The sequence below is a fragment of the Homo sapiens genome, chromosome 6, assembly GCF_000001405.40.
Source record: "Homo sapiens chromosome 6, GRCh38.p14 Primary Assembly".
Lineage (NCBI taxonomy): Eukaryota > Metazoa > Chordata > Mammalia > Primates > Hominidae > Homo > Homo sapiens.
In genome coordinates this window covers 77,460,329-77,487,486 of record NC_000006.12, presented here as the reverse complement: position 1 = coordinate 77,487,486, position 27,158 = coordinate 77,460,329, and the positions used below count along the sequence as shown (strand labels likewise).

At 38.9% G+C, this 27,158-nt stretch overlaps 2 protein-coding genes across 6 annotated transcripts in view, besides 3 other annotated features; one reads left to right on the top strand and one right to left on the bottom strand.

Annotated features, from left to right (window-relative positions):
- Positions 1 to 1,347: 1,347 nt before the first annotated feature.
- The window catches only part of LOC105377864 (uncharacterized), an 82,536-nt gene continuing 56,725 nt past the window's right edge, over positions 1,348 to 27,158 (bottom strand). Inside the window, exons 1-6 of one of the 5 annotated variants that reach the window (XM_047419659.1) lie at positions 24,887 to 25,452; positions 16,771 to 24,651; positions 12,836 to 12,961; positions 11,147 to 11,210; positions 6,322 to 8,817; positions 1,348 to 3,749 (exon numbers count right to left, since the gene is read on the bottom strand). In XM_047419659.1, the coding sequence (XP_047275615.1) occupies positions 1,656 to 2,693 (1,038 nt within the window). In that variant the 5' untranslated portion in view covers positions 2,694 to 3,749; positions 6,322 to 8,817; positions 11,147 to 11,210; ... (1 more) ...; positions 16,771 to 24,651; positions 24,887 to 25,452 and the 3' untranslated portion in view covers positions 1,348 to 1,655. The other 4 variants (XM_047419661.1, XM_047419658.1, XM_047419662.1 and 1 more) reach the window with 4 other exon arrangements.
- Positions 20,947 to 21,006: an enhancer, noted in NCBI's record as "active region_24764". NCBI's record gives its function as "activates an Ori minimal core promoter by ATAC-STARR-seq in GM12878 lymphoblastoid cells {active_cell/tissue: GM12878}" and the evidence as "EXISTENCE:reporter gene assay evidence [ECO:0000049][PMID:35858748]".
- Positions 21,217 to 21,266: an enhancer, noted in NCBI's record as "active region_24763". NCBI's record gives its function as "activates an Ori minimal core promoter by ATAC-STARR-seq in GM12878 lymphoblastoid cells {active_cell/tissue: GM12878}" and the evidence as "EXISTENCE:reporter gene assay evidence [ECO:0000049][PMID:35858748]".
- Positions 23,996 to 26,563, top strand: HTR1B (5-hydroxytryptamine receptor 1B). Its single transcript, NM_000863.3, has one exon. The coding sequence runs from the start codon at positions 24,084 to 24,086 to the stop codon at positions 25,254 to 25,256; it is 1,173 nt and encodes a 390-aa protein (NP_000854.1). The 5' UTR covers positions 23,996 to 24,083; the 3' UTR covers positions 25,257 to 26,563.
- Positions 24,986 to 25,130: a silencer, noted in NCBI's record as "fragment chr6:78172074-78172218 (GRCh37/hg19 assembly coordinates)". NCBI's record gives its function as "represses an EF-1alpha promoter that drives an FKBP-Casp9 reporter gene in an ReSE screen in HepG2 liver carcinoma cells {active_cell/tissue: HepG2}" and the evidence as "EXISTENCE:reporter gene assay evidence [ECO:0000049][PMID:32094911]".

Sequence of the window (27,158 nt, the reverse complement as noted above, 5' to 3'; positions counted from 1 at the left end):
ATTTTATGAGACTGACATGTTGCTTACTGCACTGAGGCAGGTTATATTAAGTTTTAAAGCACCTTCATAAAGATCTTCAGACTAGCAATGATGTATTTATTTTATGCTCCCAGCTCTGTTTTGGAATAGCTATTGTTGACTCATGGTACAAATAGTTATTGAGCTTCCTACTATGAATCCAGCACAGTGCTTGGCCCCAAATCTATTGTGTGAAAATAAACTATTATGATCCCATCCTCAGAAAGCCATAGAGCATGATAATTTCTGCTTTATTTTCTTTGTAAATATTAAATTTATCTATTGAATAATACAGTTTTGCTGATGTTCAAACTACATTATTAAATCAGTAAAATTGGCCAGAACATGCTAAGAGTGTGACCTGGAGAAAAAATCTTCATGTAAACAATAATATTTTTCAGGTTCATGACTGAACAAAGTATGAAATATTTGTGTTGAAATATGACATTTAAATATAGATACAATAATGTTATAATTTTAAAATACAGTATTCAGAAAACTGGAATTTCAAATTAAGCTGATATTTCATTTTTAAGAAGTATTAGTCTTTATTGTGAGATAATAGCACAATTTTCTCAAATGTGTAGTCAATATGAACATAAAATTTTGGAGAAATTTGTAGTATGTAAATTATTTCACTCTATCTGGAAACATTTTCTAGGCTGCGCATAGGAGATTTGTTCCTATTACTAAATACAATTTTTTAAAACAAGTATCACAAAGCCATAGATGTACAACATAAATTACTAAAGATTAAAATTTGAGCCAGGTTATAAATCAGCATATTATCTAGCATATTAAAATATGTGTAAACATTATTTTAAGGGCTAAAATACATGTTGTCATTTTGGTACATTTTCCAAATTTGAGGATAAGTTCGACCTAATTTTTCTTGTCTATGCCCATTAACTTGCTATAATTTCCAGATATTGAGGAAACTTCCTTGAGACAGTTAAAGAGCTTATAAATCAGATACTTCAGCATAATCTCTACATGAGATATCTTTATTTAAATAGGCCTTCAGTTATGTTTTGGCATGCAGGTCTTATCTAGGATGATTCTTATTTTTAAGAGATAGAGTACAATCTCAATAGCTGCTAAATTTGAACTAATTGGTTTCCCTTGTGAATAATAGAGATATTATGCAATATTAAATAAATTCTGAGTTTAGAACTGTGTAGTATCATAATTTTTACATTGCTTAGGGCACCTAATTTATTTCTTCTACAAATAAAAATAGTTTTATTTTTATTTATTAAAATAAAAGCAATCCATACTTAATTTCAAATGAAAATAACAATTCAAAACAGAATAAAGAAGCTACAATTATCTATAATCCCTCCACCCAAAGAATATCAATGGTAAACCTGTTAGCACACATCCTTCCCAACTTTTTAGTTGAATAGAATTTTGGTATTTTTTAATGTACAGATTCTTGCACATCTAAGACTATCTTCCTGTTTACCTTACACCTAAATAACAAATAGGCTAGATATAGGAATCTGATTTTGCAACCTTTATTTTCTTGAAACTCAGCAAACATTTCTCCATCATCTGGTAATAGAGTACTGATGAAAGAAACATTTAACTGACTTCAGTCCCTTTGTTAAAGGCAATCTATTTTATTTTTTTCTGCATCAGTTTTTATAAGATTTTTTCAAATTATCCTGGAAATAAAACAAGCAAACATGATAGGCTGTATGATATATATGATATATATGATATATAGATGATATATATGATATATAGATGATATATATGATATATACATGATATATATGATATATACATGATATATATGATATATATGATATATACATGATATACATGATATATATGATATATACATGATATACATGATATACATGATATATATGATATATACATGATATATATGATATATATGATATATACATGATATATATGATATATATGATATAGACATGATATATATGATATATATGATATAGACATGATATATATGATATATATGATATAGACATGATATATATGATATATATGATATATACATGATATATATGATATATATGATATATACATGATATACATGATATATATGATATATACATGATATACATGATATATATGATATATACATGATATACATGATATATATGATATATATATGATATATACATGATATATATGATATATATGATATATATGATATATACATGATATATATGATATATATGATATATATGATATATACATGATATATATGATATATATGATACATACATGATATATATGATATATATGATACATACATGATATATATGATATATATGATACATACATGATATATATGATATATATGATATATATGATACATACATGATATATATGATATATATGATATATATGATACATACATGATATATATGATATATATGATACATACATGATATATATGATATATATGATACATACATCATATATATGATATATATGATACATACATGATATATATGATATATATGATATATACATGATATATATGATATATATGATATATACATGATATATATGATATACATGATATATACATGATATATGATATACATGATATATACATGATATATGATATACATGATATATACATGATATATATGATATATACATGGTATATATGATATATATGATATATACATGGTATATATGATTGATATATATGATACATATATGATATATATGATATATATCTTTTCTTATTAATTGGTCTTGAATTTGTAAACATTTTCAGTAAGTAAACATATTTTCCTCAATGCAGTATAGCATCTTTATTAATATCATTGGTGATTCTGTGTCTTCTTGTTTCTTTCTCCATGTATCTGTCATGTTTATCTCTTTCAACTTAATCACTTGCTTCTCTTTCCCCACATTCCATGATATTCTTAATATTGTACTTTCTATTACTGATTCAAAATTCTGTATCATTATTGCTTTTTCTTATTTCTGGAATGTACTTACATATTGATATTTTAATACTTCCTTGAATTGTTTTATCATTTGGATTGCTTTAGAATGCTGTCCCACATGAAACAGTTCCTTCCATTGACCCCTTAGTTTCATGCCCTTACACGACTTTTTAAATGTATCTAACATTTCTCAAATTTTTTCTCTTTAAAAAAACCAACTTTGTGCTATTGTATTAGTTTTTACAACAACAGCTTTATTTTCCTTTGTTATAGTTTTTAAACTTTTGGCTATAATTTTGATTTTTTTTCATTTACCATATCCAGTCAGATTACCAGAATTAGACTCACAAACTTTATTCACAAATTAATCTTAAATTCTATTGATTAGTAATATTCATTCTGGCTCTTAGTAGATAAACAATGAAATTTTAATCTTTGCCAAATTTCTGAGATGAACATAATATCACTTATAGGTTTTAAATATTTATGAATAGACTATGCATTATTAATATTTTAAAAATATTCTGATATCCTCACACAAAATGAACTATGTAAACACAAGCTATAATGAATATGCAGGCAAAGCTGATCATCAGCAGACCTGTCATACAAGCTGTTAAGCATATTGAATTTATCATATTTTATCAGGTCTAAGATAAACTTTTCTTTGTTACCTTTGAACATCACTGAAATAGGGCTGCATTTTGTAATTATGGATAAAATTGGTGATGTGGCTGTCACTTGCTTCACGTTTCTATGCATCTTGAGAAAAAGCTGGCAGAATATTGCCTTGGGAAAAAAATACCAGAGTTAATAGTGAAGCACTCTTTTAGAAAACATTATATTAGCTATGTCTTGATGATAGATAATAATGTTGTATGGAAAAATACAGAAATTAATGACTATGTTGAAAAGTGATTCAGAAGACTGAGATTCTTAATGTAAAGAAATTTTAGAAATACCTTAACCAATTAATTTTCTTATTCTGTATATGCACAAAAATGATACATGATAGAAATATATATTTCAATGTCTGAAAGCAGTTCTTTCAATGGAATAACCTAACAATTCTCAGTGATGAGAAAAACTGTGACAATGTAGTTGGTGACATTTTACCAGGAGTAAGCAAAATAATGATTCATTCTACGATTGATGCCTTTTGAGATTGAATGAAATATGATATATTAATACTTCCTCATTCATTGGTAGTTCTCACCTAAAACCACTCAGTGGGATCCTCTTTCCTACCACAGCCACTCACACCTCATCTAGAGCCTCCTGAGATCTCTCCACATTGCAGCAGTGAGTCTGCAAGACTTGCTCCAAAAAGATTTCCTGCTCTGATTCATTGGGGCTGTTTCCTGCCTCTGAAGTGAACCTGAGATGTTTAACAGGGAAAATAGTAATATCTAACCTCCATGAGTGTTTGAAAATTAACTAATAGGGATACAGGAGCAGAGCATCAGAGAAGGTGTGCTGTGGTAGGGTTACAGCTGTGTAGGGAAGGGATGTGATATAAGACAGTGATCCTTCAGCCCTTGGATGGCTCTGTAGGAACAGAACTCCTGGAACTCCATTAAACACTGACTCTAGATCAAATAGTAGTAACACATTGTTCCATCCCAAATATATAAAATGGAATGTGGTGGCTCACGCCTGTAATCCCAGCACTTTGGGAGGCTGAGGCGGGCAGATCATGAGGTCAGGAGATAGAGACCATCCTGGCCAACATGGTGAAACCCCATCTCTACTAAAAATAAAAAAAATTAGCCCGGCATGGTAGCTCATGCCTGTAGTCCCAGTTACTCAGGAGGCTGAGGCAGGAGAATTACTTGAACCTGGGAGGCGGAGGCTGCAGTGAGCCGAGATTGCACCGCAACACTCCAGTCTGGGCAACAGAGTGAGACTCTGTCTCAAAAAAAAAAAAATATGCCTCTGTAGGGATTCTGTTGCAAATCCTACAGTTATAGCTTGATCTTACTATTAGCTTAATAAAATGCCATTTCAAAAAGGCAACCAAGTTTGCATATGGGATTCAACATACTCAGGAATTCTTAATCTGTAAATCCTTATTCATTGAACCAAAGAATTTAACACACACAAAGGAAAACACGATAACAGTAACAATAACACCACCATGCAAAAACATTCACGAGCAAAAAAGCCTCTTCATAGGACATAAAGAGACCAAGACATGATGAAAATGTACTTTAACACAAAGTAGGAGTTTGAGGATAGGACAAAAATTTGGCAGAGGAGTACAGTTTTCCAACAAGAGAAATCACTTTAAACTGGAATTTTCATTCAGATTGAGAAAAAGGACATATCAGAGGGAATAATCCAACCAAATATCCTTGACTGTGTAAGAAATACTGATCAAGAAGAAGCACTTAGATATTTCCCTAGCCTTTGTGTCAGAAATCATCCTTTATTCTTTATAACTATGTGGAAGGAAGGCTGGACAAGTTTTATAAAGAGCTGATAGAGCTCTATTCTCGAACTTAATGGGGAGAGCAGAGTTAGATTTGGGAATTGGCAAATAGGTGGAGCAAATCACTATATGCCGTAACTATAAAGTACCCTGGCACTAAAGAATATATAATTTAGCCTTTCTTGAGAATATAGTCACCCCTCAGCATTCAAAATTTGTGGAAACTCAAGTCCCTTATATAAAATGGCATAGTATTTACATATAACCTATGCATATCCTTCAGTATACTTTAAATCATCTCTATGTTTCTTATAATTCCTAATTATATGTAAGAATTTATATGCTATGTAAATAATTGTCATACTGTATTGTTTTTAATTTGTATTGTTTATTGTTATATTCTTATTTTTAATTTTTTTTGTTTTCAAATATTTTCAATCCATGATTGGTTGTATCCATGGATGAGGAACCCATAGATATGAAGTGCTGACTGTACTACATTTCCCTAAGCACATGGAGTAACTGCATACAATGGGAAAAATGTGTCCTAGTTCATTGTTTTAGAGTTTGGAGGCAAATTGATTTTTAATTCATGTAAATTAAGATTATCAGAGTAAGCATAATATAACCTAAAGGTATCATTGCCTACTAGATGGCAGGGCTATAGAGCAGCTGTCATCACAGATGAGACACCAGGCATATAATCACTTTAGCATCTTTGACAATAGCAAAGCCTCACTAAAAAATCTAGTCAAATTTTAAAATTAGAATTTACACAATAGAGTGCAATTAGTATGCAATGACACCAGCAAATTTAAGGAATATTTAAATATTCCATACAATTAAATAACTGAAAAACTGCAGCACCAAACCCAGTATTCGAAATTGAATTTTCAGCTGAACATGGATATATAATTTTAGAAAATATACAGGACAAGGTTTGTATGGCCATCATGTCCTTCCGATCAGTTTTCTCCTGCTCATGAGCTCATGTGCTCAAAGTATATTTCATTCTGGGGAAAGGCTGCCATAAAACCATGCTCCATCCCTCTTTCCTTTTCCTTGGAACAAGTCCACTGAGGTCTGTAGAAGAGACAGAGAAACATGACAGTGACTCATTCATTGAACATTTACTAAGAGTTTAATTAAGGCAGGGTATTCCTATTATCTCTAAATTATTTCTGACATAGCTGGTAATGTACTTTTGTACTTCACAAACAATAGCAATGGAAACTTCATTTTGATGTTATGAGGTCTCAAAGCTTGAATACTTTCTGCCACCAACTCTACATAAATCTTTTAATTTTGTTATACTTTTTACATATTTTCTTTCTAATAGTGCATATTATTTTATCATATTCCATGTGAAAAACCTGTATACAATTTAGAAACTAAAGTATAAATTTTTTTAAAAACCTCCTTTTATTTGTATTTATTTTAAAACATTAAATTTAGTTCTAAATTATTAATAGCTTCATATAGTTCAAAAATCATAATTACACAAAACGTATTCATTAAAAAAATCTAATGGCTGTCCCTGACCCATAATCCTAAATCCTTTATCCCTTTCATAGGTAAAACCTTTAAAAATTGAAATAATTTCAGAATTACAGAAGAGTTGCAAAAATGCTACACATAATTCCTATATACTCTTACCTAGTTTCCCCTTACATTAACATCTAACATGGAATATTGATCACAACTAAGAAATTAACATTGGTAAAATACTGTCTTTCACTAATGACCTTTCCTTTGTTTCAGAATTCAGTTCAGGATCCCACATTGCATTTATGTGACATGTCTCTTTGGTTTTAGGTACTCTATGACAATTCCTTAGGCTCCCTTATCCATGACGCTGATATTTGGAAGAATACTGATTATTTATTTTGTAGAGTGTCCACCAAATGATTTGTGTGATGTTTTCCCATGTTCAGGCAGTGGTTATGGATTATGTGGTAAGAATAGTACAGAAGTGAAGTACTCTTTGGTAATATCATATAGGGGAAGGAGGCATATCACATAAGTCATTGCTGGTGAGGCTCACCTTGATCACTTGACTAAGGTTGTATCTGCTAGCCTCTCCATGGTATATTTACTATTTATCTCTTTGTGGTTCCTAATTATTTTGAGAGAGGCACTTAGAGACTATGCAAATATCCTGTTTCGGAAAATATTTTTTTATCCACTAATTTGAACATTCACTGCTGGATCTTACCTGGAGCAATTATCCCTTTGAGATTCTAGTAATAATATCATATTTCTATCATTCCTTCTATCTTTATTAATTGTATTTTTTTCTGAAGAGTTGGTATTTTCCTCTATTTATTTTATTAATCCATTAATTTATTTGCATTAGTGTAAGCTCATGGATATTATCTGATTATTTTCATTATAATCTAACAATATCATTATTTATTTTCTTATTCAATATTTTTCAACTTTGACCATTCATATTGGCTTCTTTGTTTTTAAGAGATGGGGTCTCGCTTTGTTGCCCAAGCTGGGCTTGAACTCCTGGGCTTAAGGGATCTTCCCACTTTAGCCTTCTAAGTGCCTGGGACTACAGGTGCACACCATTGTGCCCAGATAGGTTGGTTCCTGTGTGTTTTTTATATGCTCCATTCTTTTCTTTGTTTCCCCTCTTCTATCCCTTATTTTTTAAGTGCTTTCTTTTTTCTGTCATCACAGATACTTCAGACTTCTCCTAAATTTTTCTTACCCTCACCCTGGAGTCAAGTAGACCTCCAAGGAGCCCTGTCTTTTTAATTGAAAAATTATATTCATAGATCTAAATCTGGATGCCACTGATATTTGTGACTACTGGGGTGCTGCTGCTTTTGGCTTTCTCAGTAGATAGAGATAAAAAATACATATGTATAAAAAGTCATGCTTATACACATCTGTATTTGTTTCTATGTCTACTTATGTAGATAGATGTGTTTTAAAGAAACCACGATTCCACATTGGTAACTAGAACTCCTATACAACACCACGGTTCATTTTATCCTTCCTTTTTTTGTTGTTTGTAGCTTCTTTCATTGACAGCGAGAAACCTGGTTCTCATTATATTCTAACATATTTACTTGCTTGCTCAACCCTAATATACAAATAAAGTAGTTTCAGAATTTCTGGCTCCTTCCCCTCTGAGAAACAAATGTATCAACTAAAGTTTATGTCTATATATACTTATTTTTTGTCCTTAGCCTTGCATTATTAAGCCAAAGCATTTTCTAAAGTTATGGAGATCATCAACTTTCTTTCCATCTTCTTCATTGTGGTTATCTAATTCATCTGTAGTACAGTTAAATTCATTTGTCACAGTCTGCCTTCTGTCTTTTCCCTCATATTGTTGCAGTTTTTCTGCTCCTTAGCTCAGCTCAGTCCGAGGTCTTGTCACACAACCAGGAAGAATTAGGCACACGGACACTGAAGAGAGAATGGAGTAGAATTTATTAAGCAAAAGGAAAGTTCTCAGCAAAGAGGGGACATGGGGGATGGTTCCCCTACCCAAAAGCAGGAAAGTCCCCCATGTGGCTATTTCTGGGGCCTTTTATAAACTCAGAATGGGGTGCATGCTGATTGGTTTGTGAATATGCAAAAAAGATTAAAGTGAAGATACCACTCAAAGGTGGGCATGACAGTGTAGAAAAACCAATTAGGAAAGGGTAGGTATATGTAAAATAGGAGAAGGGTGGAGACCAATCAGAGGAAAATACGCCAAATGGGAAGACAAGTTCTTAATCCGATCTGAGGATTTAACCTGTAGCTTGGTTTTCAGGCTTTAAACTGTCTTTGGCTTGGAGGTCGGGTTCCACTGAGGACCCTCCCCTATCTCTGTAGGCATTTGGCTGCCTCCTGCCGCTCTCATTTCCCCCCTCTGAAGAGGTACATCTAACTGTCATTAGAATAGGGATAAAGACTGATCTTAACTGCTTTCTGCTGACAGGGTGCACTGTTTTGTGACCCACATAATTTAGACCACATATTTACATTTTGAAGACGTTTGTATTTTACCAGTTATCTTTCAAACTACTTTTATTTTTCAAAGATTAAAGTCACATGAACTAAAAGACACTATGGCCTTTATTTTTCCTTCCAAGAATATTTCTTCTAAGTGCTTATTTTCTTTAAACCAATTAATTAAAGCTTTTTTATATAACCGTCACATACATAATACATGTACAGACAGAAGAAGATCCAGTATTTATAAGATTTTTCATTCGCCCATCTCTTAAATGGATTATTGGCCTCAGGGTGGAGCCCTTCAAGAAGCAGGGCTAGGAAAGCACGCAGTTTCCAGGGCCTAATAAACAGTAATAGATGGAAGACAAAAACAGATTTGACAGAGATTTATCCACTTTTAATACCTGGGGTTCCATGAGGAAAACAGACGTTTTATCTTAAGATGGGGTCCGTAGCACCTTTTCTATTTTTCTCAAGGAGTCCCATGATCTCAGAAATTATCTTAGGGCCTCTCATGTTTGCACCAAGAATGGCAAGACAAAATGGAGAAAAATAATTCAGTCGACTGAGAAAAAAACCTTTTCCAGAAGAACAAGATCCATGAAGAGAAAAATATAAAGGCCTTTTAAATATACGTATAGCTTAGATGTTTACTTTTAATTAGGCTGAGCCCTCTTTAAGAAAAATCCTTTTAAATCCCTTTTTACCCAACTTTAGTCATGACCAGTGGTCAGTATTTCTGGCTTTCGAACTTTATCAAAAGTAACCTCACAGATGAAACCAACAAGCCTCAACTAAGGTTATGACTTAACTGGGAATGCATAAGGTATTTTCAAAGAGGGGGTAAGCAGTTTTCACAAAACCTAGACTCTTTAATGGTAGCTCAGAGAAAGGAAGATTTACAAAAGGAAGCTAGAGGCTGGGCTCCGTGGCTCACGCCTGTAATCCCAGCATTTTAGGAGGCTGAGGTGGGCAGATCACGAGGTCAGGAGATCGAGACCATCCTGGCCAACGTGGTGAAACCCTGTCTCTACTAAAAGTACAAAAAAAAAAAAAAATTAGCCAAGAGTGGTGGAGCATGCCTGTAGTCTCAGCCAATCAGGAGGCTGAGGCAGGAGAATTGCTTTTACCCAGGAGGCAGAGGTTGCAGTAAACTGAGATCATGCCACTGCACTCCAGCCTAGCGACAAAGTGAGACTCCGTCTCAAAAAAAAAAAAAAAAAAAGAAAGGAAGCTAGAAGTTGTTCATGGAGGGGAAGAGAATCAGCAAATGGTAAAAGTTACACAGATATTAAACAGAAAGTATTCATTCCCTAAGCTAGGATTGGACCTGGGGCACCATTGTAAAATGGCAGAGACCAAAAGAAAGTACTGCTACGTGGTAACAAGGTTAAGCTCCCAAAAATTTAAAACAAGATGGAGACCTGCAGCAAAGTTTGTTACTGACCAGTTTGTCAGGCTGGCTTGAACAGCAGGCTTATGAGGTCCTAGGCCCGCATTCTATCCTAAGGTACCCCTCTTTATGACAGAACCATACAGAAAGACACACAAAGCACACCAGATTGACTGTAGCTTAAGACTAGCCTCACAATTTTTTTTTCCATTAATCAAAACTTTACAGAGAATATAAACAGTGATTTTGTCACCCATTGAACTGATTTGCACAGGGAAAGGGAGGCCAGAAGTCTGACTGGTAAAAAGCTTTTACCCTTTTGCTGGCATGTCAGGCTTCTAGGTTCCCTTCCCCCAAGCTCAATTTTAAGCCAAGCAGTTTAAGGTTTGGGAAAATTACCTTTTCCCAGTTTGGCAGATGCACCCAAGGGGAGTGTCCTGTGGTATGGGTACACGATTACCATCTGCAAAGAGAGGACAGGGGAGGAAAAGGAGAAAGGTGTTTTTTTCAAAGGAGTGCCAGTGATTCAGGAGGCATTTAAGAGAAGTACAGACTGAAGATGATTGGTTACCCATATGGAAAGAGGGGAACAAGGTGTCCCTAGTTCCTTTCTCTTCCTGGAGTATGTGAGGGAGAGAAAGAAGAGGTGTCCCCCTTTCTTTCTTGCGTCCTTATATCCCAGAGTCCTGGTGACCTCGGCAGGGTGCTGCCCATGGGTGCCAATGCAGCTTTCACTCAATGTTAACAGGGTGGCCTAGGAGGTGGGAATTATCCACACTCACCCACATGCTGCCTTTCCCCCCTGCTGTAGATAACCGTAGAGGTCCCCAGAGCTCATTTATCCGATGGATACTAGCATGACCTCTATCCATGAAACAGGCACTTGGCTTAATCAACAGGAATTAGTCCTGCTCACCTACGCTGTGCCCCTTGACTTCTGCTGTCATCTTCCTCTGGATCCCTCAGATCCAGTTTTCCTTACTAGGGCTTCAACCCAAAGCATGGAATTGAGTTTGGGGCAAGAAGGTAACTCAGAAGCGTTCATGAACTCATTAAGTCCCAGGTGACCCTTGCCAGATTGCATCCAGCAGCCGGCAGGGCTGCTCCTTCCCTGCTTCCTTATCATAATTCAAATGCTAATGTAAAGCTGTGGAGGCCGGTCCTCCTCAAACGAAAGAGAAAAAAGAGAGTCCCATGAATTGGGGCCCTGGCCTAGTAAAACACCGTTCAAAAGAAAAAAAAAAACTCTCACATAGAAAAGCTCCCTGTATTTGCAGGGCTGTGTTAACTCTCGACATGGTGGAGAAGGAAAAAAACAAAAAAAACAGCTTAAGTGCAGGACGGGTAAGGTGCCTGGGGAAGAAACTCTCTTGCACTGTCCAAATTGGTTCCTCCAACAGGAAGAGGAGTTCTTAATTACTGTGCCCTTTTTCTAGTTCAGAATGAGCTGGACTAGGTTAGGAAAGACTCCACGGGTGCGTGGCAGGAGGCGGTGGTGACCGGGAAACACTGCCAGTAAGCTGCGTGGGGCCTCTGGCCCCTGAGACCACCCTGGGGCCTGGGCAGTGGCTGCGATACACTCCTGCCCTGCATGGTCATTGGATGTAGCATGTGCACACGGCGGACATGACCATGCGCCCCAGCTGGGAGTGGGGGGGTAAGTGGGCAGCCACTGCTCACCCATCCATCTGCCTCGTGTGCCTGTGGCCATTAGGGTGGGAGGAGGGATGCACCTCTAGGAACAGACAGATATCACATTTTTCTGAATCGCATGTGTGATGGCTGGGCCAAATGCTCCTTCTATGGAGTAGTATCTCTGCAATTTGCAGCAACACCCTTAACATTATAAAAGAAGAGATAGAAGCCATTTCAAACCATGAAAGAAGGAAGAAAAAATACCTTAGAAAAGTCTGGGAGTCTTGGTCAATGCCCTAATGAGTGATCAGGAAGGAAGCCAAGTCTAAGGGCCTTGTGGCAACACTGAGAAGTGGACTCAGCCAGATGCTTTCAGTTGCCCCAAGACTGTATTCTGGTCCCACGCAACAGCTAGACCTCCCTGAAGGGAAACAAAACCGACATCCCTTTTACCTGAAAGAGAGAGATAGGTGGCAGGGTTGCATCCTGTCTTCTGTAACTGCGCCATTTGTTCTTAATTGGCTCACCCGAGGTTTGGTGCTTCATCTGCCTTCAGAAAAAAGTCTGAGGATGAGAAGCCTTGAAAATGAAAGTGAAAGAGAGTTTGGGTCCGTATTTACTAACCCTCCAGGTATCCCTGTACAAGCCACCAAAATGTTGTGGTTTTTCTGCTCCTTAGATCAGCTAGATCCGAGTTCTTGTCTCACAACTAGGAAGAATTAGGTGCCTCGACACTGGGGAGTTAGTGGAGTAGAATTTATTAAGCAAAAGGAAAGTTCTCAGCAAAAAGGGGACATGGGGGATGGTTCCCCTACCCAAAAGCAGGAAAGTCCCCCATGTGGCCGGTTCTGGGGCCTTTTATAAACTCAGAATGGGGTGCATGCTGATTGGTTTGTGAATATGCAAAAAAGATTAAAGTGAAGATACCACTCAAAGGTGAGCAGAACAATGTAGAAAAACCAATTGGGAAAGGGTAGGTATATGTAAAATAAGTGAAGGGTGGGGGCCAATCGGAGGAAATTGTGCCAAACGGGAAGGCAAGTTCACAATCCAGTCTGAGGATTTAACTTGCAGCTTGGCTTTCAGGCTTTAAACTGTCTCCAGCTTGGAGGTGAGGTTTCTCTGAGGACCCGTCCCTATCTCCCTAGGCAATTAACTGCTTCATGCTGCTCTCAATATCTTGATTGATTACTTTAAATTTTTATATATATATTTTATATATTAAAATGCATCGCCATAGTACCATAGAAAGCCATTCCATCATACCAGAAGTTCTGTGCAATTCCACAGATGACTTCACCCCAACCCCAATCGCTGGTAATGACTGTCAACTGTTTTGCTCTCTGTAGTCTTGCCTTTTTCACAGTGTCATATCAATGGAATTGTACAGTTTTGGATCTGCCTTCTTTGACTTAGAAAAATGCATTCAAGTTTGATCCACATTGTTGCATGAATCAATAGTTCATTCTTTCTTATTGCTGAGTAGTACTCCATTGTATGAATGTACTACAGTTTGTTTTTCATTCATTGGTTGAAAGCCATCTGTGTTGTTTCTAAATTTTGGAAATTATAAATATAGCTACTATAAGCCATGTGCAGTTTTCTGTGTGAACATAAGTTTCATTTCTCTTGGGTAGATAACTTGGAATAGAATTGCTGGATTGTAGATGTACATTTTATTTTATAATAAACCTGCTAAACTGTTTAGCAAAGTGGCTGTGCCATTTTACATTCCAACCAACAAGATTTCCAGTTGCTCTGCATATTTGTCAGCATTTAATATTGACAGTATTTGGGGCAGGCATTATAATGGGTGCATAGTGGTATCTTATAGTGACTTAATTTGCATTTACGTGATGGTTAGTTACACTGACATTGTTTCATATGCTTTCATGTCATCTATTTACCTTTTTTGATGAAGAATCAATCACTTGAGATGTGCTTTGTGTCTGGCATATATTCTATATTTGTAAGTGTTCCAACTGCTTTTGAAGAAATATATGTTGTACAGTGGTAGAAATAGAATGTTTTCTATGCCATTTAGTTGACCTTGATTAAGTATATTGTTCAAATCTTTCATAGCCTCATTAAATTTTTGTCTATTTTACTATTTTATTAGCTAACAAGAAAATTATGTTCAAAACTAAATCGATTATGGCCTTGTCTAGTATTCCTTTTAGTCCTATCAAATTTTGTTTTGTGTAGTTTGAAGCTATGGTCCTAAGATTCTTACGTCTTTCTGCTGAACTTAAATACCTTTATCACTTATTTAGCAATGTAAGAATTTTCTAGCGTTCACTCTGTTTATACTGGACAGCAGCCCTTTGTGCTATTGTGGGCATATATTTTAATTATGCATATTTTATAGGACCGGGAAAACATTATTTTTGTATCTTTTCATAGGTTTACACTCTCCTTTGCTTTTCATCCCTTCTTGAAATCTCTGCTTTCATGTAGTATCATTTTCATTTAGCCTGAACAACTTCCTTTATTATTTCTTATGGTCCTGTTCTGCTGTCAACAAATTCCCCACCTGTTGTTTGGCTGACAGCATCTGCATTTCACCACCAATTTTTAGGATATTAATTCATGGTATAGAATTATAGGTTGCCAGATTAAAAAAACTTTTAGCTATGATAAGATGTCATTATATTACCTCCTGACTTCCATAGTTTCTGTCAATAAGTCAACCGCAGGCTTTCTGGTGCTCCTTTGAAAGTAAGTATCTCTTTCTCTAGCAGTTTTATGAATTTTTAAATTTGTCATTAGATTTTTTTTTATTTTTAATTTTTTTTACCAGTTTTATCATTATGTTCTTAGCTATGGCTTTCTGAGTGTTTATTCTGGCTAGAGTTCTTGGAGTTTCTTCAGTGCTGTTTGTTTGATGTATTCACTATGTCTGTACATTTTTGGATATTATCTCTCCAAGTACTTTTTCTTTCCCATTCTCTTGCTGTGCATGTATTTTAGATTATCTGACTCAGTCTGACTCTTACATTCTGTTTTTTTCTTTCCACTTTTCTTCTCTCAATGCTTCAGTTTATACTTTTAAAAATTATTTTGTAATTATTTTCATTACTTTGTGAGGTTGCTAATCTTATCTTTTTCTTTGTCTGGTGAGCTAATGCATCCATCCAATAAGTACTTAATATCAGATACTATATGTTTATTTCTAGAGTGCTTATTTGACTTTGTTTTTAAAGATTTCCATTCATTGTTGAACTGTTCTACCTTTCTGTCCATTTAGACTATTTTTCTTTATTTTCCTTAGCATATTAATAATAGTTATAGATGCTTCCTGACTTATGATGGAGTTACAAACTGATAAAATATCATAACTTGAAAATTCATTTAATACACCTAACCTACCAAACCTTGTAGCTTAGCCTAGCCTACCCACATTAAACATGCTCGGAACACTTACCGTACCACATGTTGCTAGCTCAGGAAAAGATCAAAATTCAAAATTCAAAGTACAGTTTCTACTGAATGGGTATAACTTTCACACCATTTTAAAGTTGAAAAATTATGTGTTGACTGTTCAAAGTACAGTTTCTACTGAATGGGTATAACTTTCGCACCATTTTAAAGTTGAAAAATTATAAGTCAGGGACTGTCTGTATTTTAAAGTCCTTTCATGCTAACTCTAATATCCATATTATGTATGGATTTATTCCTATTGTTAGGTTTTTTAAATTATTGATCAATTTTACTTCCACAATGTATATATTATACTTTTTATTGCAATCAGATATTGTACATACAAGGGCTGTAGAGGCTTCAAATATTATTTTGCCCAGACAGAATTCAATGTTTCCTCTGTCAGGAAGAATGCATGAAGAGCTGACTATATCAACCGGTCAGAGACTGAGCTGAGTCAAAGCTGATTTGTAATTAGACTCAGTCCATCTGTGATTCATCCTGTTCTTTGGGCCTTGCTTTTGATTGACAGCCTGGAAGGTCTCTCTCTCCTCAGTCCTGAAATACTGCAGAAGATTCTTCACTGCTTTCAGAAATTTGAGCTTTACTCTTGTACATTTCCCCCACTGAGCTTCAAAATCTTGCAAATTGCTTGAAGGGAAGACCAGTCATATATTTGACATAGACTCCTTCTCTATAGGGGAACTTTTTCTTCTAACCACTCCAAGACTGTGAAAGATTTGATTTGCCTATTAGAATTTCCTTACCCAATCCCCTAGTCTCCTGTTTAGTTGCAACACAGAGCAAATGTCCACATATCACCCTGACCCCAATAATCATTGAAAGCTCTGCTTCTTTCCCTTTTCCCCAGTACAATCTCTTTGCCTGGACCATGTCCAATCCACAATCTGTTCCCAGAATCAGCAAATACCTTAAGGAAATAAAACAGGCAGTAATCATTTACTCACCTAAAAAATACATTTCCTTTTGCAGAATTTTAGTTTATCTAATTATTCTTGCTTCCACACTCTTCAAAGTTTTTAAAATATGGTTTTTTTATATTTATAGCTTTTTCAGTTGTTACTTTGGTAATGTTCACCTTTCATGACATCCTGCATTTTACTCAGAAACAGAACCCATTTCTGAGGATTTCTTAAAGTGGATCTGATTCAGATTAGTTTCTAAAATATAATTGAAGCTGCAAGATGTAAAGTCAAAAGGTGTTAATGGCTATGTTTTAACAACATGAGAAAAGCCCATCTACAGTGAAATAGATGAAAGAAATCTACCTGCAGACAGCAACCAACAGAAAAAGAAGAGTTCTGCTTGCGTTCCAGAATGCTGGTTTTTCCCAAGATGCAGCTGCATTCCTACTTTGTCCAAAACTTGGTGGTTCAATTCCTTTTTTGACTCTAGGGAGCCCCAATCTCCTTGAAATAAATTCCTGTCTTTTGTTTTTAGGTTGATTAAATTGGTTTTCCATCACTTGTAATAAAAGTCTTAGTTAATATATCATATTATTAAATAGGTCAACACAAATCATAATGTTGTTATTGTCATTCTTTTAGGCTTTTGCTTCTTAATCTTTACTCTAGATTTCCTGGCTCAATTTGCAATAAAGATGATAAATGTGGCATCTTGCTGCATTCAACATGCTTATCTGACATAGTTTCTCATCCATTTCTTATATCTTCAGGGGCCTTGGAAAACATATAGCTAAACATATTAGAACTGTATATTTGGCAAGAAGAAATAAGATCTGAATGAGGCTAGGAGGAGCTCTGCCATACATAAAGTGCAAAAGTTTTAGAACATTGGCACTTAGATTTGTTTTTGCTTACATTTTTGGTGTTTGCCTTGTTCTTAGTAACTGAACATGCTACACCAGGGATTTTTGGCTAATATGTTCTTTAAATAACTTTATTCAAATAAGTGTATCACCAGGGATAGGTCTTTTTATCTTTGATGAGTTCCTGATCCATAAGGGGAAAAAGTCAGTTAAGTTCAACACACTAGGAAAAAAGAAAAGCAATTTAATTTGTATCGGTTATTTTTGTAACTGATATTCAAACTAACATGGTTAAATATGGAGAACAGGGGATATCGCTGTATTTAATACATTCCATCCTTACAATTTTTAAAAAGCTTTAATTAATTATTTATTTCAATGTGTATATTTATGGGCCTAGGGAAAGTGTTAATGATAAAGAAAAAGATAATGAGAAGGAAGAGAGAAAAAAAAAGAATGGAAGATAACAGCAAAAATTAAAGCACACCCTGAATATAATTATGCCAAAACTAATCTGGAACAGCTTAGCTTGATTTCTATTTGGGCTGTGCACATCAAACTATGTAGTATATGATCACCTATCAACAGTACTTTTGAAATGATAGCTAGCTACACATAATCACAGTGCCCAGTTTTCTACCTGATTTTTACCACAATCACCCCCAACCTCCAATCCCTACCTTCACCCCCACATAAAAATTTGAAGGCGTCTAAACGAATATTACTATGGAGACTTAAATAGCTATGAGCAATGACGTCATCTCACAGGCAGAAGGAAACGAAGTCATGGTCAGGTGAGCAAAATGGGTGGCTACGCTGAGCTGCATGGCCGATCCAGTGTAGAATACTGGTCAATGGTTGTAACTTGAAATTAGAGACTTGAACTTGAAAATTGATTCTATCACTTACCAGCTGTCTGACATTGGCAAAATTACTTCAATTCTCTAAGCCTCAACTTCTTTATCCCGAAAATGAGAATGATAATGACAACTCTCAGTGTTATAAGAAATAAGTGTAAGAATGTATGTAGAATACATAGCATATGGCTTAGTATATTGTGTTCAATAAAGGATAATGATTCTTATTCATGAATGACAGGTAAAGAAGCAATAAAGCACCAGAGAGTGATGTCATTTTTCCTGTTTGAAATTAAGAATTTTGCTTTTCTTCGGCAAAATAAGTGTTTTGACTTTTCTTTATTTGTTTGAAAATAAAGACTTTGCATTTCTATTGCTTCGTCACTTAGGCTGAAAGATAACTTCACCATCAAATTGTTTGGTTTGGTTTTTCAAGAGAGACTTCATCTTGAACAGAGCTGCTTAATTACACTGCCAACTTAAAAAAGCAAGTTGTTTGTAAGTTTGGTGGATTTATTGGCATTGTTTTTTCATTCAGATATTTCTCATTGCCAAATCTCACTCTGTCCAAGAAAAAAAAAATTCAGCACACCATACTCTATGTAACCTTACTTACATTACTTAATAGTAGCTGTAAAATAGAATTTTTTTTTGAAGACCTACGTCTTCAGCCAGGAAATATGTGATTAGATCTTAATTGGGAGCTGGCTCTTCTAGTTGGATCTGGGCTATCTTTGAACCAGTAGTAAGTTACTTGTTGCAAGTATCTGTTCAAAGTAGCAAAGTGTTTATTCATATGGAGATAGGTATTAAAAATGTCTAAGTTATATATATTTGCTCTAAGTTTTGTTTGCATTCTTCCTTAAATAGAAATATGGCTTACATGATATTTGTATCCATATATAGACACATAGGAGAATTACCAATTTTTAGGGATTAAGTTACACCAAACTAACATTTAGGGAATAAAGCACCTGCCTTCATTATTTGGTAAGAAAGACCTCAAAATTTCTAATAAAACAGATGGAATGTAAATACCATGACACAAATATCAGGTCAAAGGCCTAATGTGAGGGCCAATGAATATGGAAAGGGATCTGGGCCTCATATGGTTTGGAAATCCTCAGAATTTGTCCGCAAAAATTACATGTATATCTATGTATGTATATGGTCATTTATCTGAACATTTTCATAGTTTTCATCAAGGAAGTCACAAAGGATGGTAAGAACCAAGTCACTGGGTGGACCTGATAGTTTCATTGCCATCAGTCAGTTCTTTAAGGAATAGTTACTGGAGGAAGTATAAGATAAACCTAGAAATGGGCTGCCAGCACACATTAGGATGGTGCACACATGAGCTGGTGGTCTCCTGCTGCCCGTTTCTGAAGTGAAAATATATATATATATGCTGGCCATAGATGGAGGAAGCAGAATTTGAAAGAAGCAGCAAGACAGGCCTCCACACCAGATTTCTCAAGCAGTGGGATGGTGAGTGCGGGGTTGTATTTTCCTGTATCAAAGGAGAAAAGTGACAGGCGCATGAGTGTTCTAACGTTTTTCTTTCAGCAAAGCAAAGATAAAATCAGGACTTTCTTTGCTCCTGGGCCTGGACCTCTTTCAATAGTTACTCTCTGGATGGAAGACTCTAGGGATGCTGAAAGCAAGACTCAGTCGCCGCAGGCAAGAGAGCTGGCTAGGGCTGACTAAGGTTAGCTGACTGCCAGCTTACATAGAGTTGAGTTGCAATAAATTCCGTGAGATATCTCTTGTGGTTGCTGTAGGCAGAGTATGCTTCCCTTGACAGTGTCCAGTCTGGTTAGCGCTGCGCTTTAAACTTCCCAGCCTGCGCCTCGAATTTGGTGCTGCAGCTGTAGAACTACATCTTCCTAGCATGGGAGAGGGTTCCTCGAGGATTCATTTTTCTTTGGTTCCTCCGCAGCCAGCTCACCGCTAGGATCTGGTTTTGTGTCGGTTCACTGACTTCATTTCAGTTCCAGAGTTATTCTCCACTTACTCAGCTTCTGCCAAACGTACACGTGCGTGGAATTGATAATAAGGGAACCACATTAATTCGCAGTTTTAGTGCCCGGTGTTCATACGGGAGCTTATTTCTACTCAACTAAGTTTTGCTGCGCTCAGGTAATCCATCTCCACCCTTTCCCTTCCGCTACTGATTCCCTCTCTGCTCCTCCCCTGTCAGGTGAATTTCCCCCAAAACTTGCCTGGAGGTTCCTTCTAGCGCCGCTGGGGACTGCAGAGCTGGCACTTGGACCTTACCCAGCGACCCCTACTCCGAAGGGGTGACCCAGGCACAGGCGACTTTACAGGGTCTCTTTCTCTCTTGGGTGTTTCACACACATGCGCCTCTGTGCAAACACCTATGTTTTATGTGTTTTAAAGTGAGAAAGGAATACTTGAAATGCGGAAGTCAGGTTAAGGAAATGGGGTTCTTCACTGAACTCTGCCAACATCCGGTCAATATGATGGCGGTGTGTGTTTAAGCAGCTCTTTACCAAAGAGGGTAAAATCAAACTGCCTACAAGGGGCGGATTCCTCTGGGAGTCTGGGACTCTGCGAAGCAGTGGAGGCATGGCTGGAGAAAGCCACAGGTCCCCAAACCGCTAAAGCCAAAAACCGTGTGGGGAACAAATTTTGCTTTGTTTTTTCTCCGTCCCATGCTCCCGAGCAGAAATTAAAAGAGGAAAGGTCGCATGGAGCTGGTTACATTCCTGTCGGCCTTCCCCCGCTTCCCATCCCTTTAACACTTGTCTCTAATCGTTTCCAGTTCTCCTAGGATAACGGGAAAATTGTTTCCTGGCACCCCGCACTCCCACAGGACACACCCGCAATCGCACACACTTTTGATCCGTCCTGGCCAATGCCCCCACCTAGCGGTTTAAACTCGCCGGCTTTGCTTCCCTCTTCTATGGTTTCTAAGTGAGCGCTGCAGTTGACAAAAATAATTGTTTATCTAGGTGGATGGGGTGGGAGAATGGGAAGGATCCCTTAAAATGTGGTGAAAATGAGGCTTAAGGTTGGTGGCAAAATGCTAGGTGCTAGGACTGGAGGAGAAAAAGAGAGAAGGCTGTGCTTTTATCCTCAGGGTGGCTGCTGCAGCCCAGACCGCATCTAGAGGACGTCCTTGAAGAGCTGCCACCTTAGTTAAAGGAGTACCCTCACTCTCAATGCATGCATGTGTGTATGTGTGTTTTTCTTCAAAACACTTAACACTACAGAAAAGTATAAGTATTAATTATTTACTTGTTCATGTAGTTATTGTCTGTCTCTTCTAGAATGTAAACTGCTGGAAAAGAGGGTCTGAGTCTACTCCCACTGGCCTCCATACCTCGGATGCCTAGAAAAATACTCAGCATAGAGTAGGCACTCTATTTTTTGCCTGCTTGCCTGGTTTAGAGAACCGGGAATTAAGGGAACTTGGGTTTGTGCTTTATTGCCTTGGGTAAAAAGCTCTTCTTTCAAAGGATCTCAATTACTCTTCCTCTAAAACTGGGTGGAGGGATCAGATCAGATAGCCTTAGGTTCTGACACAGAATGATTCTCTTTAAAATATATGTGCGCTTAAACAGATGAATTCATTTACAATGCAGTTTTTATTAGATACACTCTAGGTGCCAAACATGGATCTAGGCTCTAGGAATTCGTAGTGGGGATCATTTAATCCTTCGAGCTGAAAATACCTTGTCCTTTCCTGGAGCTTTTCTTCATACTTTCTGATTTGCATCTCTACCCTACATTTGTTTCTGTTGAGGTCAGAGGAGAAACTGAGGACAGGGGATCCGTCCCTGGTCATGAGACCTAGGTACTGGTATTGCATGCTGCAGCTTATGGCTGACATTCCCACATATTAGTTGAAGGCAAAGGAGACACACAAGATGGTGCTGATGATGGTTCCAGTCCTCCCCGCCCCACCATCCCCCTTTTTTCTTGAATTCTGATGACCTCCTTTCTAGGTAGGCTGTTGGAAGGAACACGCTTACTGGCAACTGTTTTCCAGAGGCACTGAAGCACTGAGCAGCTGGAAGAGGATGGTGGAGCAGAAGGTTTAATTTCACATACAGTTGGCTTCTGTTTGTGATAACTTTTACATTTTCGCAGATAGCTTGTCTTTTTCCCTGTTGACTCATAGTTGAGTGAAAAACACAAATTTCTAAAACTAGATGAAAAAATAGTTTTTATTGTATCAAGAGTTAAGGACGGCAAAGTACAAAATGCAAACATTGGGCCCTCTACAGCGATATTACTGGTGCCTCCTAACCTGGGTGTGGCCATCAGGGCTGGATATGATTTTAGAGCGGAGAGGTCAGAGACCAGGGCTTCCCCGCCTAACACTGGCCTCCTAGGGTGGGAGTGGTAGGCAGGAGCCTAGGGCCAGACTGCTGGACTAAACCTGTGACCATGGCTAAGGACATGGGTCTCACTGGAGGTCAGCGCAGCAAGCTCTGATGTCCGTAGAGGCGAGAACAGGACGCCTTCTTCCCCTGACCAGAAATGCAGCTCCAGGTTGTCAGGGCTGGGAGGATGGCCCAGGGTGGGAAGCGGGGAGATAGGGCGGTAGGACCCGGCGGGAGCTTCCTTGGCCAGGAAAGGAACAGGGCGGGGGGAAAAGAGGGAGGGAGAGAGAAAAAGGGAAGGTGATGGGGAGCGGGCGTCCGCACCCGCCGCGCCGCACGAGTTGCACTGCTCTGGCGGACCGGACCTGGACTCTATATAAAGAGCCCATCTGCTCCGTAGCTCGCACGCTTCTCCCGGGCTGGTGCACGCCGCGTCCCTCCAGCTCCCCCAGACACCTGCCCCTTCCCAGTGTGCCGCGCCAGGTCCTCCAGACCCGCGCACCCAGTGGCATGGCTCCGAGTGGCTCCCGTGGGACCAGGGTGGCGGTGGCGGCGGCGCGGCCCGAGCAGCCGCAACTCCAGCCCCCGTGTCCCCCCTTTTATGGCTCCGTCTCCGCGGGGCAGCTCGTCCGAGTGGCCAGAGAGTGAAAAGAGAGGGAGGGCAGAGCTCCGGCGCGAGGCGCGGCGCAGCGCTGCTCCTAGACTTCACCCCACCCAGCTCTGGCGGCCGCTGCAGCCCCCCAAAAGTGCCCCAGCTTGGGGCGAGGGGTGGGAATGCAAGATCTCGGGACCTCTCGCTGGCCTGCAAGCTTTGGTCTCTACACCTAGGAAACTCCTGTGGGCAAAGTCTGCAGATCCAAAAGCGTCCAGGTTAGGAGACGCTCAGCCTCAAGCAACTGGGGTAAGAGATCCCATTTGGTCAAAGCCTTCTCCTCAAGCAGTACTTCACCCTCCTGCACTAGACGCCTCCAGGGAGCTGGAGCGGAGCAGGGCTCGGTGGGCCAGCTCTTAGCAACCCAGGTCTAAGACCCGGTGTGGAGAGGAACAACCACAGACGCGGCGGCTTAGCTAGGCGCTCTGGAAGTGCAGGGGAGGCGCCCGCCTGCCTTGGCTGCCGCACCCATGACCTCTAGTTTCAGCTGTGAACCTGGGCGGAGGAATAATTGAGGAACTCACGGAACTATCAACTGGGGACAAACCTGCGATCGCCACGGTCCTTCCGCCCTCTCCTTCGTCCGCTCCATGCCCAAGAGCTGCGCTCCGGAGCTGGGGCGAGGAGAGCCATGGAGGAACCGGGTGCTCAGTGCGCTCCACCGCCGCCCGCGGGCTCCGAGACCTGGGTTCCTCAAGCCAACTTATCCTCTGCTCCCTCCCAAAACTGCAGCGCCAAGGACTACATTTACCAGGACTCCATCTCCCTACCCTGGAAAGTACTGCTGGTTATGCTATTGGCGCTCATCACCTTGGCCACCACGCTCTCCAATGCCTTTGTGATTGCCACAGTGTACCGGACCCGGAAACTGCACACCCCGGCTAACTACCTGATCGCCTCTCTGGCGGTCACCGACCTGCTTGTGTCCATCCTGGTGATGCCCATCAGCACCATGTACACTGTCACCGGCCGCTGGACACTGGGCCAGGTGGTCTGTGACTTCTGGCTGTCGTCGGACATCACTTGTTGCACTGCCTCCATCCTGCACCTCTGTGTCATCGCCCTGGACCGCTACTGGGCCATCACGGACGCCGTGGAGTACTCAGCTAAAAGGACTCCCAAGAGGGCGGCGGTCATGATCGCGCTGGTGTGGGTCTTCTCCATCTCTATCTCGCTGCCGCCCTTCTTCTGGCGTCAGGCTAAGGCCGAAGAGGAGGTGTCGGAATGCGTGGTGAACACCGACCACATCCTCTACACGGTCTACTCCACGGTGGGTGCTTTCTACTTCCCCACCCTGCTCCTCATCGCCCTCTATGGCCGCATCTACGTAGAAGCCCGCTCCCGGATTTTGAAACAGACGCCCAACAGGACCGGCAAGCGCTTGACCCGAGCCCAGCTGATAACCGACTCCCCCGGGTCCACGTCCTCGGTCACCTCTATTAACTCGCGGGTTCCCGACGTGCCCAGCGAATCCGGATCTCCTGTGTATGTGAACCAAGTCAAAGTGCGAGTCTCCGACGCCCTGCTGGAAAAGAAGAAACTCATGGCCGCTAGGGAGCGCAAAGCCACCAAGACCCTAGGGATCATTTTGGGAGCCTTTATTGTGTGTTGGCTACCCTTCTTCATCATCTCCCTAGTGATGCCTATCTGCAAAGATGCCTGCTGGTTCCACCTAGCCATCTTTGACTTCTTCACATGGCTGGGCTATCTCAACTCCCTCATCAACCCCATAATCTATACCATGTCCAATGAGGACTTTAAACAAGCATTCCATAAACTGATACGTTTTAAGTGCACAAGTTGACTTGCCGTTTGCAGTGGGGTCGCCTAAGCGACCTTTGGGGACCAAGTTGTGTCTGGTTCCACAGGTAGGTCGAATCTTCTTTCGCGGTTTCTGGGTCCCAGCGAGGCTCTCTCTCCTGGGCAAGGGCAATGGATCCTGAGAAGCCAGAATAGTCCTGAGAGAGAGCTCTGAAAGGAGAAGTGTTGAAACTAAATGTAGAGCTTCCCTGCCCAGGAGGAGGCTCACTTCCTCCCCTCAAGCCCCGGGCTCAGCACTGACCCTGCGGCAGCCAATCCCAAAGGGGGTTGCAACTTTTAAAAATTGATAATGGAAGGGAATCCCTGCCCTGCTTTGGTATCGTGGATAATGCCCACTAGAAGCAGTGTACTTGTAATTGTTGTCTGAAGCCTGTCTGAGACAGATCTACATACAGCCTGGCAGTACTTGAACTAGACGCTTAATGCCCTGTGTTTTTGGGGGGAGAACTTTGTGTTACAGCTTAATTTAAGAACAGTTACTTTGGCATCATTCAGTCTTCACTTTTTGTCTATTTAAACTTGGTTGGAGAAACTTGTGGATTTGGTGCTTCAAACCCTATGTGTGGCTTGGATGGCGCAGAGAAACCTTGAAGAGTTAACAGCAAAATTCTGATGCTGAGATCTCTATTTTTATTATACTTGAAACTATATGGGGGTGGGTGGGTGGGAATGGGAGATGAGGAGTGTTAAACTGAGAATCAACACCTATGATTGTTTGTTTTCTGCAGATTTACAATTTTGTAATTCCTGTTTAGCGATTGTCAAGCCACAACTCTAACAAACAAACCATTATGTGTGCTAGTGCCGAAGTCTGCAGACTGCTTTATTTTTTCTCTTAATTTCATGTACCTGTCACTTTACACATTTAAATCCCCATAAATGAAGGGTATGATGGGTGACTCAGCCCACACTGCTGCTATATTTCTTACTAATGCAATTGGTAAAACCGATTAGTATTGGAAATATACTGTTTCTTAACAAGAAAAGTGTCTTTATTTCTTATCCAATTTAGTGAGATGTGAAGGAGACTGATGACATGGGGATAGTTCTTACACAATTGAGGAATGGGGTGGGGGCAATAGGAGGATGTATATTTTGACTTGTAAAAAAATCTTAAAATGCATGAAACTTTTATCTGATAGTCATTTGCACTCTCCTTCCCATCTGTGATTCCTTGTGTGCTAACATATAAAGAAACCAAGAGAACTATCTTCCTTCTCCAGAAACCTTAAAAATACAGTTAAGGGCCCTAAAAACGATATTGAAAAGAAAATAAACTTGTTTCTTTTTTGTTGTTGTTGTTATTGAAGTTTGGGCAGGAGAAAAGATTGCTAGAAAATGACATATAAGAACTTTAGAAAAGCTTAGAGAAACTAAAATTGAGCCTGTTTTTGTCTTGTTTTTTGTTTGTTTAAAAAAGAAAAAATTGCAGAACCAAACCTCAGACTTACTAACAATCAGGAAACTGGCAAGCTTTTGACCTTTGTAAATTTGTTACCAACCTGATATCTCAATTAATATAATATCTGGAATACTTTAAATTTATCAGTCTTTTCAAATTTCAAGAATACTTAGTTATTTCAAATTTCCTCTGAGAGCTCCCTAATACAGGATAAAGTCATGAAATAAAATATGAAAAAAATGTATATTTTAATAAGAAGTAGCCCTGAGGGATTATCTGCACGGAAAAAAATGTATATGTACAGCATTTAACATGCCAAAGAAAATTCACACTCCTTTCCTCAGAGGGCATTCTGCAGTTGATACCTTTTGTCTGCAGAAGCAAGTTGTCTTTGTGAAATGGATTCACTCCTTGCTTGAAACTCCCCAGTCCTGTTTGTCAGACAATAAATACATTGAGCTGAAGTACACTGCTTGCCTACTG